Genomic DNA, 16,241 nt, shown 5'->3' on the forward strand with positions numbered 1-16,241 from the left:
CAGGGAGAAGAGGAGGGAGGGGCAGCAGAATATGATTCTCACACACTCACTGGGCCTACAGGGCCAGGGTGGGGTGTGGAGGACACAGGCAAAACTTGGATCTTCTGCCCAGAAATCCTGCCAAACCTGCACTTGCTTCTAAGGGGGCATGGCTTTCCTGTCCTCTTCCACCTCTTTGCTGGCTGGAGCACCTGCGTACATGTACACCTGGAAGTCACACCTCCCCAAGAGGAGAAGGGCTTATTTGCACCATGTTATGATAGATATGTCAAAATAAGGAACACTTAAAACAATCTTATCTACAAAATACAGGTAATTATGCCACAGGACTGGACCAGAGGACCTCTTGAGATCCCTTCCAGTTCAAGATCCATGATTCTGTGATTACAGTAAGTGAATAGAGGAGCTAGGGAAACCACCTTCTACAAAAAAAAGCCCGGGCTCCCCGATTTAGCATCTGTGATGACAGTATTGTTCCTGGCAGCTCTCAGAGCACTTCTCCATACAGTCTCCTGAAGAGCCCTGCATGTGAGTTTTATCTCTCTCAATCTGTGGATGTACTGAGGTTCAGAGAGGTTAAGTGAATTGCACCAGGTCACAGGGCAAGCCAAGCATCTGTGACCTCTCTGCTCCTCCCCCAGAGGAAGGCAGTGAGCAATTGAGGAACTGCAGTGCTCAGGCCTGCAGACCCCCAAGCAGAGGCCAGACTCTCAGGGCTCCTGGCAAAGGATCAGGGTAGAGCCTTTTTACTTTTTTCATTTGCCTGATTTCTTCCCTCCCACTGACAACACATCCAAGTGAGGGAAGCAAAAGCAAAGCCATTTGGTCTCCAGTGCCCACTGCTGCCAAGTTCCTCTGCAGACCTGTGGCCATCCTCACCTCCCCTGAGAGCCCAGCCCCTGCAGTTGGCCTTAGGCCAGCCCAGAGTGAGCCCCTAAGAGCTTGTGCAGACCAGCCCAGGGATGTTCCCAACCAACCAGAAAACCTGACTGGGAAGCACATTGCTAGAAGAGCCTGCCATCATGGAGCCAGGGCCCAGCCTTCAGGGAACAGGTGAAAGCCACTCCAAAGGAGTGGCCCAGGAAGCAGCATACATAGTGGAGGCAGGTGGCAGGGGAAACAGAGAAGTCAGTGGCCCTGAAGGAGCCTTGCTCACCTTGGAGCGGCACCGCCCTTCACTACAGCTAAACTTCCAAATTCAGGCCACCTAAGAAAGGAGAGAGAAGAAAAGGGGCACACATGTGTGCAGGGGAGGAGGGCTCAAGACTATACCAAATAGCCCCCCCTTGGCAGGAGAAGTCTACCTCAAAAAGGCGGGCAGATGAGGCTATGTAAAGAAAGCTGCAGCGCTTCCGGGAAAGCCCTGGAGGTCAGTTTTGCTGCAGATATGACGGTGCAGAATCACTGACGTGTGAAGTGAAAGTTTTGGTTTTAGAAGCTCCAGCCCCTGCTACAAGTCTCTGGGGCAACCAAGAAGGTTGACCTTTCAGGGAAATGGGGAGGTGTTCCAGAGACCTTATCCACAGAGTTGGATTTTCTCCACCCTCAACCCTCTTTACAAACTGCACGAAAAAGGAGTACAGAGCTCCAGTTACCAGGGAGTGTGACAAGAGAGAAACACTCCAGGAAATAAAGCACCCTAGACAGAATCCTAAACTCTGATTCCCAATAAAGGTAGAATATGGCAAATTTGAGAGGCTTCCTAGGGCCACATCAGCTCTCTGGACTCCACTCAGAGCGGTCTGTCACTGCCCTGTGTTTCATCAGCAGTATCTAGACCATTAAAATCTTCCAAGGATGAGGCCAGGCACAGTGGTTCACACCTGTAACCCCAGAACTTTAGAAGGCTGAGGCAGGAGGAGTGCTTGAGCGCAGGAGTTTAGAGACCAGCCTAGGCAACGTGGCAAAACCCAGTCTCTACAAAAAAATACAAAAATTAGCCAGGTGTGGTGGCACATGCCTGTGGTCCCAGCTACTCAAGAGGCTGAGGTAGGAGGATTGCTTGAGCCCATGAGGTCAAGGCTGCAGTGAGTTGTGTTCACGCCACTGCACTCCATCCTGGGTGACAGGGTGAGACGTTGTCTCAAGAAAAAAGAAAATCTTCCAAGGGTGAATTTTATGGTGTGTGAAGTATATCTCAATAAAGCTGTTACGAAGTTGGGGGAAAGCTTCCAAGGAAGCCAGGTTCTCACCTCCCAGCCACCTTCCTCCAATAAGTCTGCAGCCATCATCACTATTTAAAAGAGAAGTGTCTTTCTCCCCAGGCTCCATACCTGCATTGCTGTCCTTTTCCCACTGTTCCTCCCCCAATGAGGCCAGCACACGTGGTGTGTTTAAGTAAACAACCAACCTTTACCAGAGCCTGGGGAACTGGGAGTACAAATATTGTTGAGGGCATCCCAAGTCCACAATGCCAGCCAGGTCCCTATGTCCCTTGTGTTCTTGTGTCCCTATTGTCGTTTCCCTCTAGAGAACTAAAGTACAACCTCCAGGACCTCATTACCTACAATTACAACAGAAAAAAAAGAAGGGTGTAGAAAACACAGGGACTTAGGAAAACTGTCACTGACCTTCCCTGAACCTCACTTTTTAGGCCCATAACAGATGCACTGTTTAAGTGTTCATTGCATGAACAACGAAAGGATGCCCACCTTCCAGGGGCTTGAGAGGATCAAAAGGACAAAAAACTGCTTTATAACTCAATCATGCTATGTACATATAAGAGGCTACAATTAATTATTTTTACTGTTTTACCCTGTATCTCCTCCCCAACCTAGGTTATCCCTTCTTAAGAACCTAGTTCCAGCCCCAGCGTCATGGCTCACGCCTGTAATCCTAGCACTTTGGGAGGCCAAAGCGGGCGGATCATCTGAGTCCAGGAGTTCGAGACCAGCCTGGCTAACATGGTAAAACCCTGTCTCCACCAAAAATACAAAAGTTAGCCAGGTGTGATGGCGCACGTCTGTAGTCCCAGCTACTCGGGAGGCTGAGACATGAGAATTGCTTGAACCCAGGTGATGGAGGTTGCAGTGAGCCCAGATTGCCCCACTGTACTCTAGCCTGGGCAACAGAGGGAGACCCTGTCTCAAAAAAAAAAAAAAAAAAAAAAAACAAAACAAAACAAAAAAAAACCACCTAGTTCTTTTCCCTGAAAAGACCCCATGGGCCTCAGGTAACCCTCTCATGGGCACTGCCTAGAGAGACTTTTTCTGGCATTGACTCAATGTCTCATCAGGGGTGTCCTCCAACGCTTCTCTCCCAGCCTGTTCTTTGTGTCCTTTCCACCACACTTTTCCACAGGGCTGTCCTCCCAGCCTGAGTAGGAACACCCCTCCACCAGCTGTGTCTTCTCAGCCCTTTTTGCCAGGTCTTTTCTGAGCAAACCGCGAGCTCACAACCACCCCAGTCATGAAGTTAAGCCACTGTGTGCTGAGATGTCTCTGCACTGTCTTCTCTTTTATCCTTGGAAAAAACCCCAGGGGACCCTCCTCCTCCGCTCACATTGACTTCACCTGTTCTGGGGCAGGGCCATGCTTGCCACACCAGCCCACAGCTGTCTGTGTCCCTGGCCCTCCCACCTGCCCCCTCCCCAGCCTCCCTGCCCTGCAGGCCTGGGCCAGGTTCTGAGTGCCTTTGTCAGGCCTGAGAAGGAGCCTCTGTACATGTCCCCAGTTGCTGCTGTCACTCTGGGAGAGACGTCTGGCCGGGTGTAGGGAGAAGGACAAAACAGGTGTGGCTGCCAGGGAGGGCAGGCCAGCAGAGCCACAGGACTGAAACGCCCTTTCTTCACAGACCGAGAGCTGCCAACTTCTCAAAGGCCTCCCTTCAGCACAGTTCCATGCCCTCTGCAGAACTAGTCCCAGACAGACTTCCTCACTGGCTGTTCACTGGAGCTTGGCTTCCCTGTGTTGTGGCAATGGGCCAAGAGGAACAGGAACTCCAGAGACCCAATGTGTGCAACAGGGCATGCTTTAAAGCACTGATTTTAAATGAAAACAAATACTGATACATCATGGACTAGAATCCAACATTCATGCTTATGGGGGTGTACAGGTTAAGAGCACAGGCTGAGACCTGAGTCCAAATCTTGGCTCACACTAGCTTGATGACCTTCAGCGAGTTACTCAACCACTCATCTGCAAAATCGGAATGATAGTAAGAGCTTACTTAAACAGTGTCTGGCACACACTAAGTCTTTTATAAGTGTTGGCTATCATTTTTTCTCATCTATTTCCTTGCTTCTGGTTTTGCACACTTTACCATCCACACTGCCATCAGAGTGATCACACCTCTCTTCAGTAGCTCCCATCATCTACTGCATAAAGCTGAGACTGTTAGCTAGACTGTTAGGCACCTTTCCCACACGATCTGGCTCTGCCCCACTTCCCAGCCTCAGCCCACATGGCTAAACAACCTGAAGTTCTCCAAGATTCCTGCATTCTCACCCTCATATCTTCACACATGCTCCTTCTCTCGCCACCTTGATCCCCACATTATCCCACACCCAGATCTCCCACCAGACTTGACCTTAATGGCAGCTCTTCCAGGAAGCGTTCATTGACTCCTCCAAGTAGAGGAAGGACACTGGAGTGTATACTGTTGGAGCCCCAGATCTACTTTGTAAAGTTGGTACAATGTCCCCCAGATGCTCTGAGTGTTGGCTTTCAAGGACTCACAGCTACCCCATTCTCAAAAGGGGCCTTTGGTGGGACCAATTCAATAGTGGTGCAATTCATGCTCCAGCAGCAACACACACCTCCTTACTTGGCTTCTTCCCCGGCTCTACCCTGCTTCCCTTCCTCCCTTCCTCCAGAGACAATTTCTTAAATAAATCCCATGCACCCAAACCTCTGTCTTTGCTCCTAAGGACCAGACAGCCACTCTGTTCCCTAAACTCCCATGGCATCCTCTGTTTATCTTTACTCCATCACCTGCACATTGTTCTACACCTGCTTATTGCAGCATATCTGGAATCAGAGTGCCATCTACTAGGATGGGAGCTCCTGAAGGGCACAGCCTAGATCTTCCTCACCTTAGTATCCCTGGTAGCTATACAGTGCCTGCACATGGTGGGTGCTCAGTGAATGCCTGTTGATAAATGCATGAATAAAACAGTATATGTGAATATTTAAAGTAAGCAATACAATGTAACAGATTGCTGTTACTTTTATTACTGTTCTATTTCATTGATTCTAAGATACACATTTCCTCCATTTTAACATCTCTGAAATCAGGATGCATCTTACAATTGATAGCCTGTATAGTTTAATTAGCAGCACTTCCTCTTCCATTTCTTTTCTTTTCTTTTTTTTTTTGAGATGGAGTCTAGCTCTGTTACCCAGGCTGGAGTGCAGTGGTGCAATCTCGGCTCATTGCAAGCTCCACCTCCCAGGTTCATGCCATTCTCCTGCCTCAGCCTCCCCAGTTGCTGGGACTACAGGCAGCTGTCGCCATGCCCAGCTAAATTTTTTGTATTTTTAGTAGAAACGGGGTTTCACCGTGTTAGCCAGGATGGTCGTCTCAATCTCCTGACCTCATCATCTGCCCGTCTCAGCCTCCCAAAGTGCTGGGTTTACAGGCGTGTGCCACTGCCCGGCCATTTTTTTTTTTTTTTTTTTTTTGAGATGGAGTCTCACTCTGTCACCCAGGCTGGAGTGCAGCGTCATGATCTCAGCTCACTGCAACCTCCGACTTCTGGGTTCAAGTGATTCTTCTGCCTCAGCCTCCCAAGTAGCTGGGATTACAGGCCTCGCCACCACACCCAGCTAATTTTTGTATTTTTAGTAGAGATGGGGTTTCGTTATGTTGGCTAGGCTGGTCGCAAACTCCTGACCTCAAGTGATCCGCTGGCCTCAGCCTCCCAAAGTGCAGGGATTACAGGCGTGAGCCACCACTCCTGGCCTCTTTCTTAGCTGTATATAAAATAACACTACATCTTCTAATCAATGGCTTCTTAGGTTCAGTGGTGTATGGTATTAGTATTATCAATAACTATTGAGGCTCAGTCTCCTAAATTCTGAGGCCTGCACTGCAAAGCCCACAGAGCTATGATGCCCATTATCTGAGCTCAGTAGCTGTTGGGCAAACAAGCTGTCATAGGGGCTGGGCATGGTGGCTCATGCCTATAATCCCAGCGCTTTGGGAGGCTAAGGCAGGAGGATTGTGCTTGATGCCAGGAGTTTGAGACCAGCCTGGGCAACACGGCAAGACCTGTCTCGAAAAAAAAATAAAGAAAATTAGCCAGGTGTGGTGGTATGCACTTCTAGTCCCAGCTACTTGGGAGGCTGAGGTGGGAGGATTGCTTGAGCCCAGGAGTTTGAGGCTGCAGTGAGCTATGACTGCACCACTGCACTCCAGCCTGAGCAACAGAAGGAAACTCTGTCTCAAGGGTGGGGGGAAAAAGGCTCTCATAAAATAACCTACAATTTCCCAGAGTTAAGAAGGACCCCTGTGTCCAGACACCTCTGGAAACTCCCATGAAAGTAGGCCCATGTAATGTGGAACAAGCTCTGCACTGGGAGTCATGAGAGAAAAGTTCTAAGCCTATTTCTTCCTCTAATTTTCTGGATGACCTACACAGGATTTTTCTCACATCTGTGAGGCAGCTACTAAATGCCTGACATTGGCCTGGCACAGTGGCTCACGCCTGTAATCCCAACACTCTGGGAGGCCAAGGTGGGTGGATTGCTTGAGCTCAGGACTTCAAGACCAGCCTGGGCCACATGGTGAAACCCCCATCTCCACAAAAAATACAAAAATTAGCCGGGCATGGTGGTGTGTGCCTGTAGTCCCAGCTACTTGGGGGGCTGAGTGGGGAGAATCGCTTGAGCCCAGGAGGCAGAGGTTGCAGTGAGACGAGATCACACCGCCGCACTCAGCACTCTAGCCTGGGTGACAGAGAGAAAGCCTGTCTCAAAAAAATTAAAAAATAAAAAATACATGCTTGAGATGATATGAGCCTACTGAGTCCACCCCAGCACCCTTGAAGGAAGCCATTTTTCCCATTTTATAGATAAGGAAGCTGAGGTTCAAGAAGGTTAAACAGCTCTGCCAAGGTCATACAGATGGCATTTGACCTCTGGACCCTCTGAAGCTTTCTCTCTGCTACATGAGGATACCTCTCTGGGCCCGTGTTTCCCAATAAGAAGTTTAATAAAATGAGGGATTACAGACTGGAGCCTCATGGGCCATTCTCCCTCACAGATGTGTTTTATTTGACTCACATATTATGTTTTATTTTAACTGAATTTATTGCCAACTTTTTTTTTTTTTTTTTTTTTTGAGACACAGCCTTACTCTGTTGCTCACTACAACTTCCACCTCCCAGGTTCAAGCGATTCTCCCACCTCAGCCTCCCGAGTAGCTGGGACTACAGGTGTGCACCACCACGCCTGGCTAATTTTTTATATTTTTAGTAGAGATGGGGTTTCACCATGTTGGCCAGGCTGGTCTCGAACTCCTGACCTCAGGTGATCTGCCAGTGTCAGCTCCCAAAGTTTTGGAATTACAGGCGTGAGCCACTGCACCCAGACTATTGCCAATATTTTTTTTAAATCAGAAAACAAACTAAAAATCAGAACTTCTGGCTTGTCATGGAAAAAAAATTGGAAACCTCCTTCTTGGAGGTGGAACTGAGTAGCACTGCCAGGGAGGGTTGCTTAGGTGGGATAGACTTTCCAATTTTCCAAAGATCCCACCCATTCCCAGGCCACGAGTCACTGTCATTTATCATCACACTCTGCCAGCCTCTGTCATTTCATCCCTTCTGTTCTCTGCTGGCCTCTGAGTGCGTAACTCCTGGGCCAGATGCATTCCAGTGCCCCCTCCAGCTCTAACAGCCTGTGGCTCCTCCCAGGGTCTCCCTCGCATCTACCTCCTGCCCTGTGGCCTCCATCACAAGGGCTTCCAGGGTCTTTCCCTCTCACTCCCTCCCCAGAGTCACTGAGGTGGTGAGCTGGGCAGGTGTGGAGATGAGTGAGACAAGGTGAGGGGTGGGGCCAGTGAGGAAGAGAGGACTTGCCGTTTCCCAACAGGAAAGTGGTTCAAGGAGATAAATGAGGCGGGAGGCTCTGCAGTCACAGGACATGAGCAGGGTTTGACACATGAGGAAACACATCAGTAAATCATCGAGAGGAAAAACCTACATCAGCAGCAATTTAGGAAATGCAAATTGGAATATCATTAAGGCCCCATTATGGCCCGCCCCAACATGAAAATAAGTAAATAAATAAAACAGGAAAGCTGCTGTTGGCAGGGCAGTTGCATATACGTTGCTGTGCTACCATAAACAGTTTAAATCTTTCTAGAATGTGATTTGGCATTGTGTTGCAAGAGGGTTTTTGTTTTGTTTTGTTTTGTTTTGTTTTTGAGATGGAGTCTCACTCTATTGCCCAGGCTGGAGTGCAGTGGTGCAATCTTGGCTCACTGCAACCTCTGCCTCCCGGGTTCAAGCAATTCTTCTGCCTCAGCCTCCCGAGTAACTGGGACTGTAGGCACGCACCACCACGCCCAGCTAATTTTTGTATTTTTAGTAGAGACGGGGTTTCACCATATTGGCCAGGCTGGTCTCAAACTCCTGACCTGGTGATCTGCCCGCCTCGGCCTCCCAAAGTGCTGGGATTACAGGTGTGAGCCACCGTGCCCGGCTGGGTTTTTTTTTTTGTTTTTTTTTTTTAATTTTTGCGGGTATATTGTAGGTGTATATATTTAGTGTTGCAAGAGTTTAAAACGCTGACCAGGTAATTACGGTTGGTGGACTATATCCCATAAAAATAATCTAAAATGTCACCACAAGGAAGTTTTTACAAAAGATGCTCCACAGCACCTGTATATAGAGCCCATTCAGATTATGGTACGGTAAGGAAGAGTAACAGAATGAAATATGAAAGGATGGACAGAGGGAAACTATCTGATGAAACCATTTGGTGAAGTCATGTTAAGTGACAAAATCAGCACCAAAAAATATGTCAGGTGAACTTATAAGCTGTGTTAAAACTGCAAAGGAATATTAGAAGCAATCAGAAGAGAATTCTAAATAGGTGTCATGTTTATTCTGTTAAGTTGATCAAGATGATTTATATAACAGTAACGACGGTGATGATGATGATGACGATGATGATGATGATGATGATGGTGATGATGACAATGATGATGTAAGGGCCACTGAACAGGATTTCCTCATCATAAACATACCAGAGGGCAGGTAGGCCCAGGCCCCTGGCTTGATGAGGAAAGAAGAAGGAATGTAAACCGGGAGAGGAGGGATTGTGACTGGGTGGGGATGGTGCGGGGGAGTGCCTACAGAGCATCCCTTATCTAGAGAGCTTTGAAACACCTCTCACCAAAGAAAGGAAATTACACAAATAAACCCACACCAATTAACCTCCAGCGTCCTGGGTACTAACTATGACTGCTGCATTTGGGCTCTCAATTTCACTAATACCTTATTTCAGCAACTTCTGAGGTGACACCAGGGCTCTTTGTGGGCTAGCCTAGGTACCCAACCACCATTTATAGCATTGTTTCTATGGAAATGTGTTTCAAGCTTCAAAAAACCGAGCTGCTGACAACCCTGGGGCACACACGTGGTCTCTAAATTAGGGAACTGAGAGGAACAGTTATTGCTGGGGCCTGGGCTCGAGAAGGCAGCTTGTTCCTTAGACACTATGGCACTTAATATTCACATGACCAGCAATGATCAGAACCAGGCTCAATGCCACTGTAGGGCGTGAAGATGAGGTTGGGGCATCTAGGAATAAACACGATATTCTAGAAAAGCACAGAGACAGTCACCAGCCCCACCTCCAAACACACACACACACAGCCATCACTTGCCATGGAACACATGAAGCTGGCCTGAGTACCCCTAATGAGCATCCAGGCGTGCCCTGAGCCCATACTCTCCATTTTCTCTCTGACCCTGGCACACCTCCAGCCACAAGGTCCTACTTCAATCTGATCACAGAAGAACAAACTCCAGTCTTTGACAGTTCTGAAATTTGGTTTTAGCAAATATACACTGGAGATAACCAGGGCCCCAGCTGGGTCTGGGCCTCCCTCCACACGCATTCTGTCGGGCAGAGCTTCAGCAGGCTCCAACCTGCGAACTCAAGGTACGCCGGGGGCTCTCCAGCTGCCACCCACCTGGGGACTCTGCACAACACCAAGGAGTCTCCCTGTCCTGCCCTGGTCACATTCCTGGGCTGGTCACAGCAACGGGATGATCATGGACCCTCCAAATAGACACTCCACGTGTTAAGAAAATAAGGCTCTCCACTCAGAAGAAAAGGCTACTACACACGAGGGGAGTGGTGGGTGAGAAGGCCATTCACCAGATGTCCAGAGATTCTGAGATGCCACAGAGATATGAGAAGGTGCTCAGAAGACAGTCAGCTGCTCAGCGCCACACCCAAACCTGCAGCTGCGCGTCCCAGCAGATCTCACGGCAAGACGTGGGGTCAGACGGCCCTGCCTGCTAGGTCAGATGTGAACTGGATGGATGTGGCTAGCATTAAAGAGCAACTAAATTCAACACTTCAATTAATATGTGCAACAATGTAAGTGAGCAAGACGCTACCTCACTAGGGCCCCACCTGGGTTAGAAAAGGCTGCAGGAGGTCAATTAGCAAAGCACACCCTCCCTGCTGCCAGTTGGAACTGCAGAAGAAAGACTCAGCTTCCTCCTGCTGTGGCAGGGGCCTGAAGTAAGAGGCAGCCCAGAGGTGAGTGGGCGGGTGGCTCAAAGCCTCACGTGCTCACTGGGCTGGTTCCATGAAAACGCAGGTGTGAAAATCGTCTGGGGCCCTGAGCCAGCTGGGGGCTGGAGGCAGAGTCCACGCTGTGAACCCGAGTTACTCAGCCAGTCTATGAAGTCAGGCCCATCTGAATCCTCCAGCCCCTGCATGCAGTGCCGGTAGCTGATAAAGACAGAGCTGTTTGGTTTTCCTGGTAGTAACAGATGGGAGTCCCTCCCCCTGGCCTCCTTCCCACCCAAATCCAAAGTCTTTGAAGTTAAGGCCTTGTCTTATAAATAAAAAAAAGATGTTATATAAATTATTAAAGCAATTTCAAACACACACACATGCTCTACCCATAACCTCTTTGCCCAAATCCAGTTATTGGCATTATGCCAATTTTTACTATGGGCAGTGTAATCAGTTTTTATGCACTTATGCAATTCTGTGTTTTACTTTTTTCATCTAAATTCATCAACATTTTCCCAAGAAACAACATTATCTTCATATTAAGATAACAGTGACACAATACTCACTGACTCTAGGTATCATGAATTATACAGCCACATGAAACACTGAGGCTGTTTACAGTTTTGGTTTTGTTTTTTTTTCTTTTCTATTTTAAGCAATGTTGCTATAAATATCTTTGGTGTGCAGGAAGGTATGAGATTAAAAAAATAATAAATAGATATCTTTGTACTTAGAGCTCTTTTCCTTTTTAGAATTAATAAATTCTTTATTCTTAAATTCTCAAGAGCAATACTAATAGATCAAAGGAAATTAACATTTTCTTACAGCTTCAAGTTCTAGTGTGTGTGTGTGTGTGTGTGTGTGTGTGTGTGTGTGTGTATTTTGTTGTTGTTGTTGTTTTCGAGACAGAGTCTCGCTCTGTCGCCCAGGCTGGAGTGCAGTGGTGCCATCTCGGCTCACTGCAACCTCCACCCCCCAGTTCAAGTGATTCTCCTGCCTCAGCCTCCCGAGTAGCTAGGGTTACAGGCGCGCACCACCACACCCAGCTAATTTTGTAATTTTAGTAGAGATGGGGTTTCTCCATGTTGGCCAGGCTGGTCTCAAACTCCTGACCTCAGATGATCCGCCCACCTCGGCCTCCCAAAGTGCTGGGATTACAGATGTAAGCCACCACGCCTGGCTTCTCATACATTTTTAATGTATATTTGTTCTTTGTGAGTTACCCGGATTATCTATTTTCCAAAGTAGTTTTCCTAGCAACACCTGTCAATCCTACCAATCAGGATCTACTCTTATAATGCACTTTTCCCAGCTCCTCAGCGTCCCTGCTATTCGGAATACGTACCCTATGACTGGTGGATGTTGGAGGTAATACAATTGATTTTCCAGGGAGAGATGACGAAGGAGGACAGAGAGGTGTGGGTAGGAAGGTAGAGGCTGGGATGAGTAAGGAGGGGAGAGCAGGCCTTGTGGAGTCAGAAACAAAGACAGATCCCACATTCTGTCCTTTCCAAAATGAGCCCACCCCTCCCTGGACATCAACCCACTCCCTCCACCACTCAGGTTTCTCCAAGCTGATCTTCCAGGGGCCCGGAACAAACACACACATTCATGGGTTCCTAAAGAGGATTCTGGAAATACCATGTGCTTCTAGGTTCTAGAAACATACTCTGCAAACAATATAAGCCCTGTGCTCACCAGTGGTCCCACAGGCCCATGTGCATGCAGGCTCAGCCCTAAGGGTGGCTCAACTTCAAGAAAGAAAAGTCTTTAAAGAAAGAGAGAGGCCAGGCGCAATGGCTCACGCCTGTAATCTCAGCACTTTGGGAGGCTGAGGCGGGTGGATCACTTGAGGTCACGAGTTCGAGACCAGCCTGGCCAATATGGTAAAACCCTGTCTCTACTGAAATACAAAAATGAGCTGGGCATGGTGGTGGGCGCCTGTAGTCCCAGCTACTTAGGAGGCTGAAGCAGGACAATCACTTGAACCTGGGAGGCAGAGGCTGCAGTGAGCTGATATCACACCACTGCACTCCAGCCTAGGTGACAGGGTGAGACTGAATCTCAAAAAAAAAAAAAAAAAGAAAAAAGAAAAGCAAGTCCAACTAATCAGCCATGGCGAGAAAGCCACTCCTCCACAGGTCTCTCTGAGTGGCACGCAGACCTGGGATAATGACAGGAAGCCTCTGAGTGACAACCCTGGGTCCCACTATGAGGCACCATAAAGACACCGCCTGCCAGGCTCCATTCACAGGAATTTTCGAACAGGAAAGGTACCCCTGTAGTCTAATCCCCTCATTTCATAGACAAACGGAGACTGCAATCCCTGCTTTGGGGCTCCCACTGCACCCTGCAATTACTGTCAGGAGGATGCATTCTTCCTCGCAGGAACAGGAAGTGCCACAGCCTGTCCTGACTGCCTCATGACCAGGTGGGACAGGACTTTCATTTTAAAGAGCCCCAGTCTCTGCTACTATGGTCTGCAGACTTGCTTTCCCCAGCTCTGTCTCTGTGTGAAGCCAAAAGACAGTGCTGAGCATGAGAAACGAAAGGATCCTCTAATGGCAGCTGGTATTAATATTTATCCTTCTTCAAGGAGGGCCAGTAGGAAGAGATGCTTCTGCCACCTCTAAACCAGCTCCTCACCACAGACATCTCCTCAGTGTCCCCTCAAAGGCTTCCTCAGGGTGAGTGGGGCCCCGATACAGGTTTTATACCCCCAAATCCCCTTCCTACTCTCACCAGGGTCTTGCTGACAGGCCCAAGCAAATAGCAGAGACACCAAGGTGGCAGCCCCACCAGCAAGCACTAAGGGAGGCTGGGGATGTCATGCAGACAGCCAGCTCACCAAGCACACAGTCCACCAGACATAGGCCAGGTCCTGGGCCTGCCCGATGCTCCCTCACAGCCCCTCAGGTGGCCCTTCTCGTTCCTGTCACAGAGCACCTACTGTGTGCCAGCCACAGATCCAAGGTGGTGGGGAGCCAGGCACTCCTGCAACTGACCCCAGCATCCTGCAGGGGGGAAGTTCAATTGCAGAAATGCCATGGTGGCAACTCAGGAAGGCAGCATGGAGCAGGTGACTCCTGGCTGGCCCTGTGGGCATCTGCCAGGAGGAAAAGGCCAGAGAGGGCATTCCAGATGGAAGAGACAACAATAAGCAAAGGCCAAGAGCATATAACAAGGCGAGAGAAGTGCGTCCAGGAGCAGCAAGAGGCCGGCTGGAACAAAAAGGGCCATGCTAGGGAAGGGGTAGTGGTAAGAAAAAGGCCAGAAAGGTGGGCCAGGGCTCAAACAAGAGTACATGTGCCATTCTGAGGAGTGTGGAGCTCCTTCTGCAGAACTTGGGCAGTTCTCAAAGATTAAGAGGGGGTGATATGACCAAAGCTGTGTTTTAGTAAAATAATTCAGGTTCTTCAAGACTTCTTTTCCACTTTAATGCTGCTTTTAGCACAATTTCATTTCATCTGGACAAAAGTAGGCAAGTTCAGTGTAAACTAGGCCAGAACCAACACTGGCCAGGAACTAGGAAGGCCCCTGCTCCCTCCCTCGGGGAGCCAACCAGGCCATGCATCTAAGCGATCCAAGCCTCAGGATCAGGAATCGCTTCCAGTCCAGAGCCCAGCTCATGACACTCCCAGCTTCCTGGGGGCAGCAGCTTCCCGCTTTCCCAGGGAAGTCTTGGAACACTGGCATAAAACAGCCAGTAAGTTCAAAACTGCATTTTTCCTTTTAAGGAAAATTAATTCCTTTGTCTAAGATTAATGGAACTGAATGACCAAGATTCCAGTCAAGGTGCCCTTGCTTCAAAGAGTTATACCCAGAAGATCTGAGGGCAAGACGGGAGCTGGAGCTCACCTTATCTGACACCTCTTGTTTTTTCTGGATGAGGAAACTGGGCAGGATGTGACAGGTGATGCTGACAGCCCCAGGCAAACAAAGCTGTAGCTCCTTTAGCGCTCTCAGAAAGGAGATAGGGTAGAACATCTCAACCAGGGTGACATCTTTAGAACTGGAGAGATCACCTGGGCAGCTTAGACACCAGGCGCCTCAACTGTTCCACAAACCAAGCCTGAAACCAGAACTCCAACTTCTAGTCTGAAAAGCAAAGTGGCACCTCGCAAACACCCTGTGGCCCCAAGAGTCTCACCCAACCTTGGGGAAGAAGCAGAATTCAAGCTGTAACTGCCTGTTGGAGAGAGCCAACCCTCGGCCTCTGTCCTCGAAAGGCAGCACCAAAGTTTTCCAAGTGGAATCAAATGTGCAGGGAGGATCCAGATGCCGGGATGATCTCCCTTTTCCACTGGGATGGTCAGATTCCAGAGGAGAATTCCAATTACTAATGAAACACTCAGATCTTCTGGGCACATAACATTCCTAAAGCTCAGCGGGAGGCTAAGGATTCAGAAGGATGTCCAAACAGATTAAGCTCAAGATGTGGATGTTGGCCAGGTATGGTGGCTCATGCCTGTCATCCCAACATTTTGGGAGGCCAGGGTGGGAGGCTGGCTTAAGCCCGGGAATTCAAGACCAGCCTGGGCAACATGGCAAAACCCCATCTCTGTTTAAATTACAAAAAAAAAAAAAAAAAAGATGTGGATGTTTTCAGTGGCCCAAGAGGGATGCCCTGTCTCCTCTTCCCACATCCAGAACAGCCCCATCATCCCAGTTTGAAGGCTAGAATGGGCTCCAAGCTCTATGAGAGACACCTGTCCACCTGGCATATGCAGCCCTCCCCTGGTTTCAGGCACCTGTGGTTGTGAGTCCTGAGAGGAGGCAGAGTTCCACTCTGCTGGGGAGGCTGCAGCCTCCAGAGCCTTGCTCTTCAGAACCGTAACATCAGCCTCAGGCTCACGCCTGTAACCCCTGCACTTTGGGAGGCCGAGGCGGGTGGATCACAAGGTCAGGAGTTCAAGACCAGCCTGGCCAAGACGGTGAAACCCCATCTCTACTAAAAACACAAACATTAGCCTGGCGTGGTGGCGGGTGCCTGTAGTCCCAGCTACTCGGGACGCTGAGGCACAGAATAGTTTGAACCCGGGAGGCGGAGGTTGCAGTGAGCCGAGATCACGCCACTGCACTCCAGCCTGGGCAACAGAGCAAGACTGTCTCAAAAAAAATAAATAAATAAATAAATAAAAGTTCAGAACCATAACAGCAAGAACATGACCTAAGCAGGGCCAACCACATGCGCAGCCTAGCCTTTGCCTCTGGAGCGAGTGGCACAAAAAAGTGGGGAGAGTTCAGTACCCATTCTGGAAGGGGTGGCAGCATCCAGGTCTGCTGGCAGCAGTGATGCCAGGTCAGCAGCATCGTCACCATGGCTTTGGTTCCAGCCACCCAACTTTCCACAAGTCCTGATCAATTTCTGAGCCTCATTCTCCAACCTTCTCGGACATTCAGTGAGCCACCAGATAGCCTTCCAATACATTTCTTTTCTCCTCAATTTAGCTACAGTTAGCTTCTGCTGTGGGCCAACCTAAGACCTGAGCTATGCCAGCATCTCCTTCTACCTGCACACGGGCTCCTCTGGCCCAT

At 49.1% G+C, this 16,241-nt stretch overlaps 1 protein-coding gene across 5 annotated transcripts in view, besides 6 other annotated features; it reads right to left on the reverse strand.

Moving 5' to 3' along the window:
- MIDEAS (mitotic deacetylase associated SANT domain protein) overlaps window positions 1–16,241 on the reverse strand; it is a 75,164-nt gene that overhangs the window by 46,131 nt on the left and 12,792 nt on the right. The window lies entirely within an intron of this gene.
- Window positions 374–896: an enhancer, noted in NCBI's record as "H3K4me1 hESC enhancer chr14:74228329-74228851 (GRCh37/hg19 assembly coordinates)". NCBI's record gives its function as "activates a minimal SCP1, AML or CMV promoter by ChIP-STARR-seq in naive H9 embryonic stem cells {active_cell/tissue: H9 hESC(naive)}" and the evidence as "EXISTENCE:reporter gene assay evidence [ECO:0000049][PMID:30033119]".
- Window positions 897–1,418: an enhancer, noted in NCBI's record as "H3K4me1 hESC enhancer chr14:74228852-74229373 (GRCh37/hg19 assembly coordinates)". NCBI's record gives its function as "activates a minimal SCP1, AML or CMV promoter by ChIP-STARR-seq in naive H9 embryonic stem cells {active_cell/tissue: H9 hESC(naive)}" and the evidence as "EXISTENCE:reporter gene assay evidence [ECO:0000049][PMID:30033119]".
- Window positions 1,020–1,319: an enhancer, noted in NCBI's record as "active region_8715". NCBI's record gives its function as "activates an Ori minimal core promoter by ATAC-STARR-seq in GM12878 lymphoblastoid cells {active_cell/tissue: GM12878}" and the evidence as "EXISTENCE:reporter gene assay evidence [ECO:0000049][PMID:35858748]".
- Window positions 10,258–10,327: an enhancer, noted in NCBI's record as "active region_8716". NCBI's record gives its function as "activates an Ori minimal core promoter by ATAC-STARR-seq in GM12878 lymphoblastoid cells {active_cell/tissue: GM12878}" and the evidence as "EXISTENCE:reporter gene assay evidence [ECO:0000049][PMID:35858748]".
- Window positions 10,448–10,507: an enhancer, noted in NCBI's record as "active region_8717". NCBI's record gives its function as "activates an Ori minimal core promoter by ATAC-STARR-seq in GM12878 lymphoblastoid cells {active_cell/tissue: GM12878}" and the evidence as "EXISTENCE:reporter gene assay evidence [ECO:0000049][PMID:35858748]".
- Window positions 13,654–14,212: an enhancer, noted in NCBI's record as "H3K4me1 hESC enhancer chr14:74241609-74242167 (GRCh37/hg19 assembly coordinates)". NCBI's record gives its function as "activates a minimal SCP1, AML or CMV promoter by ChIP-STARR-seq in primed H9 embryonic stem cells {active_cell/tissue: H9 hESC(primed)}" and the evidence as "EXISTENCE:reporter gene assay evidence [ECO:0000049][PMID:30033119]".

The sequence above is a fragment of the Homo sapiens genome, chromosome 14, assembly GCF_000001405.40.
Source record: "Homo sapiens chromosome 14, GRCh38.p14 Primary Assembly".
In the NCBI taxonomy this organism is placed as follows: domain Eukaryota; kingdom Metazoa; phylum Chordata; class Mammalia; order Primates; family Hominidae; genus Homo; species Homo sapiens.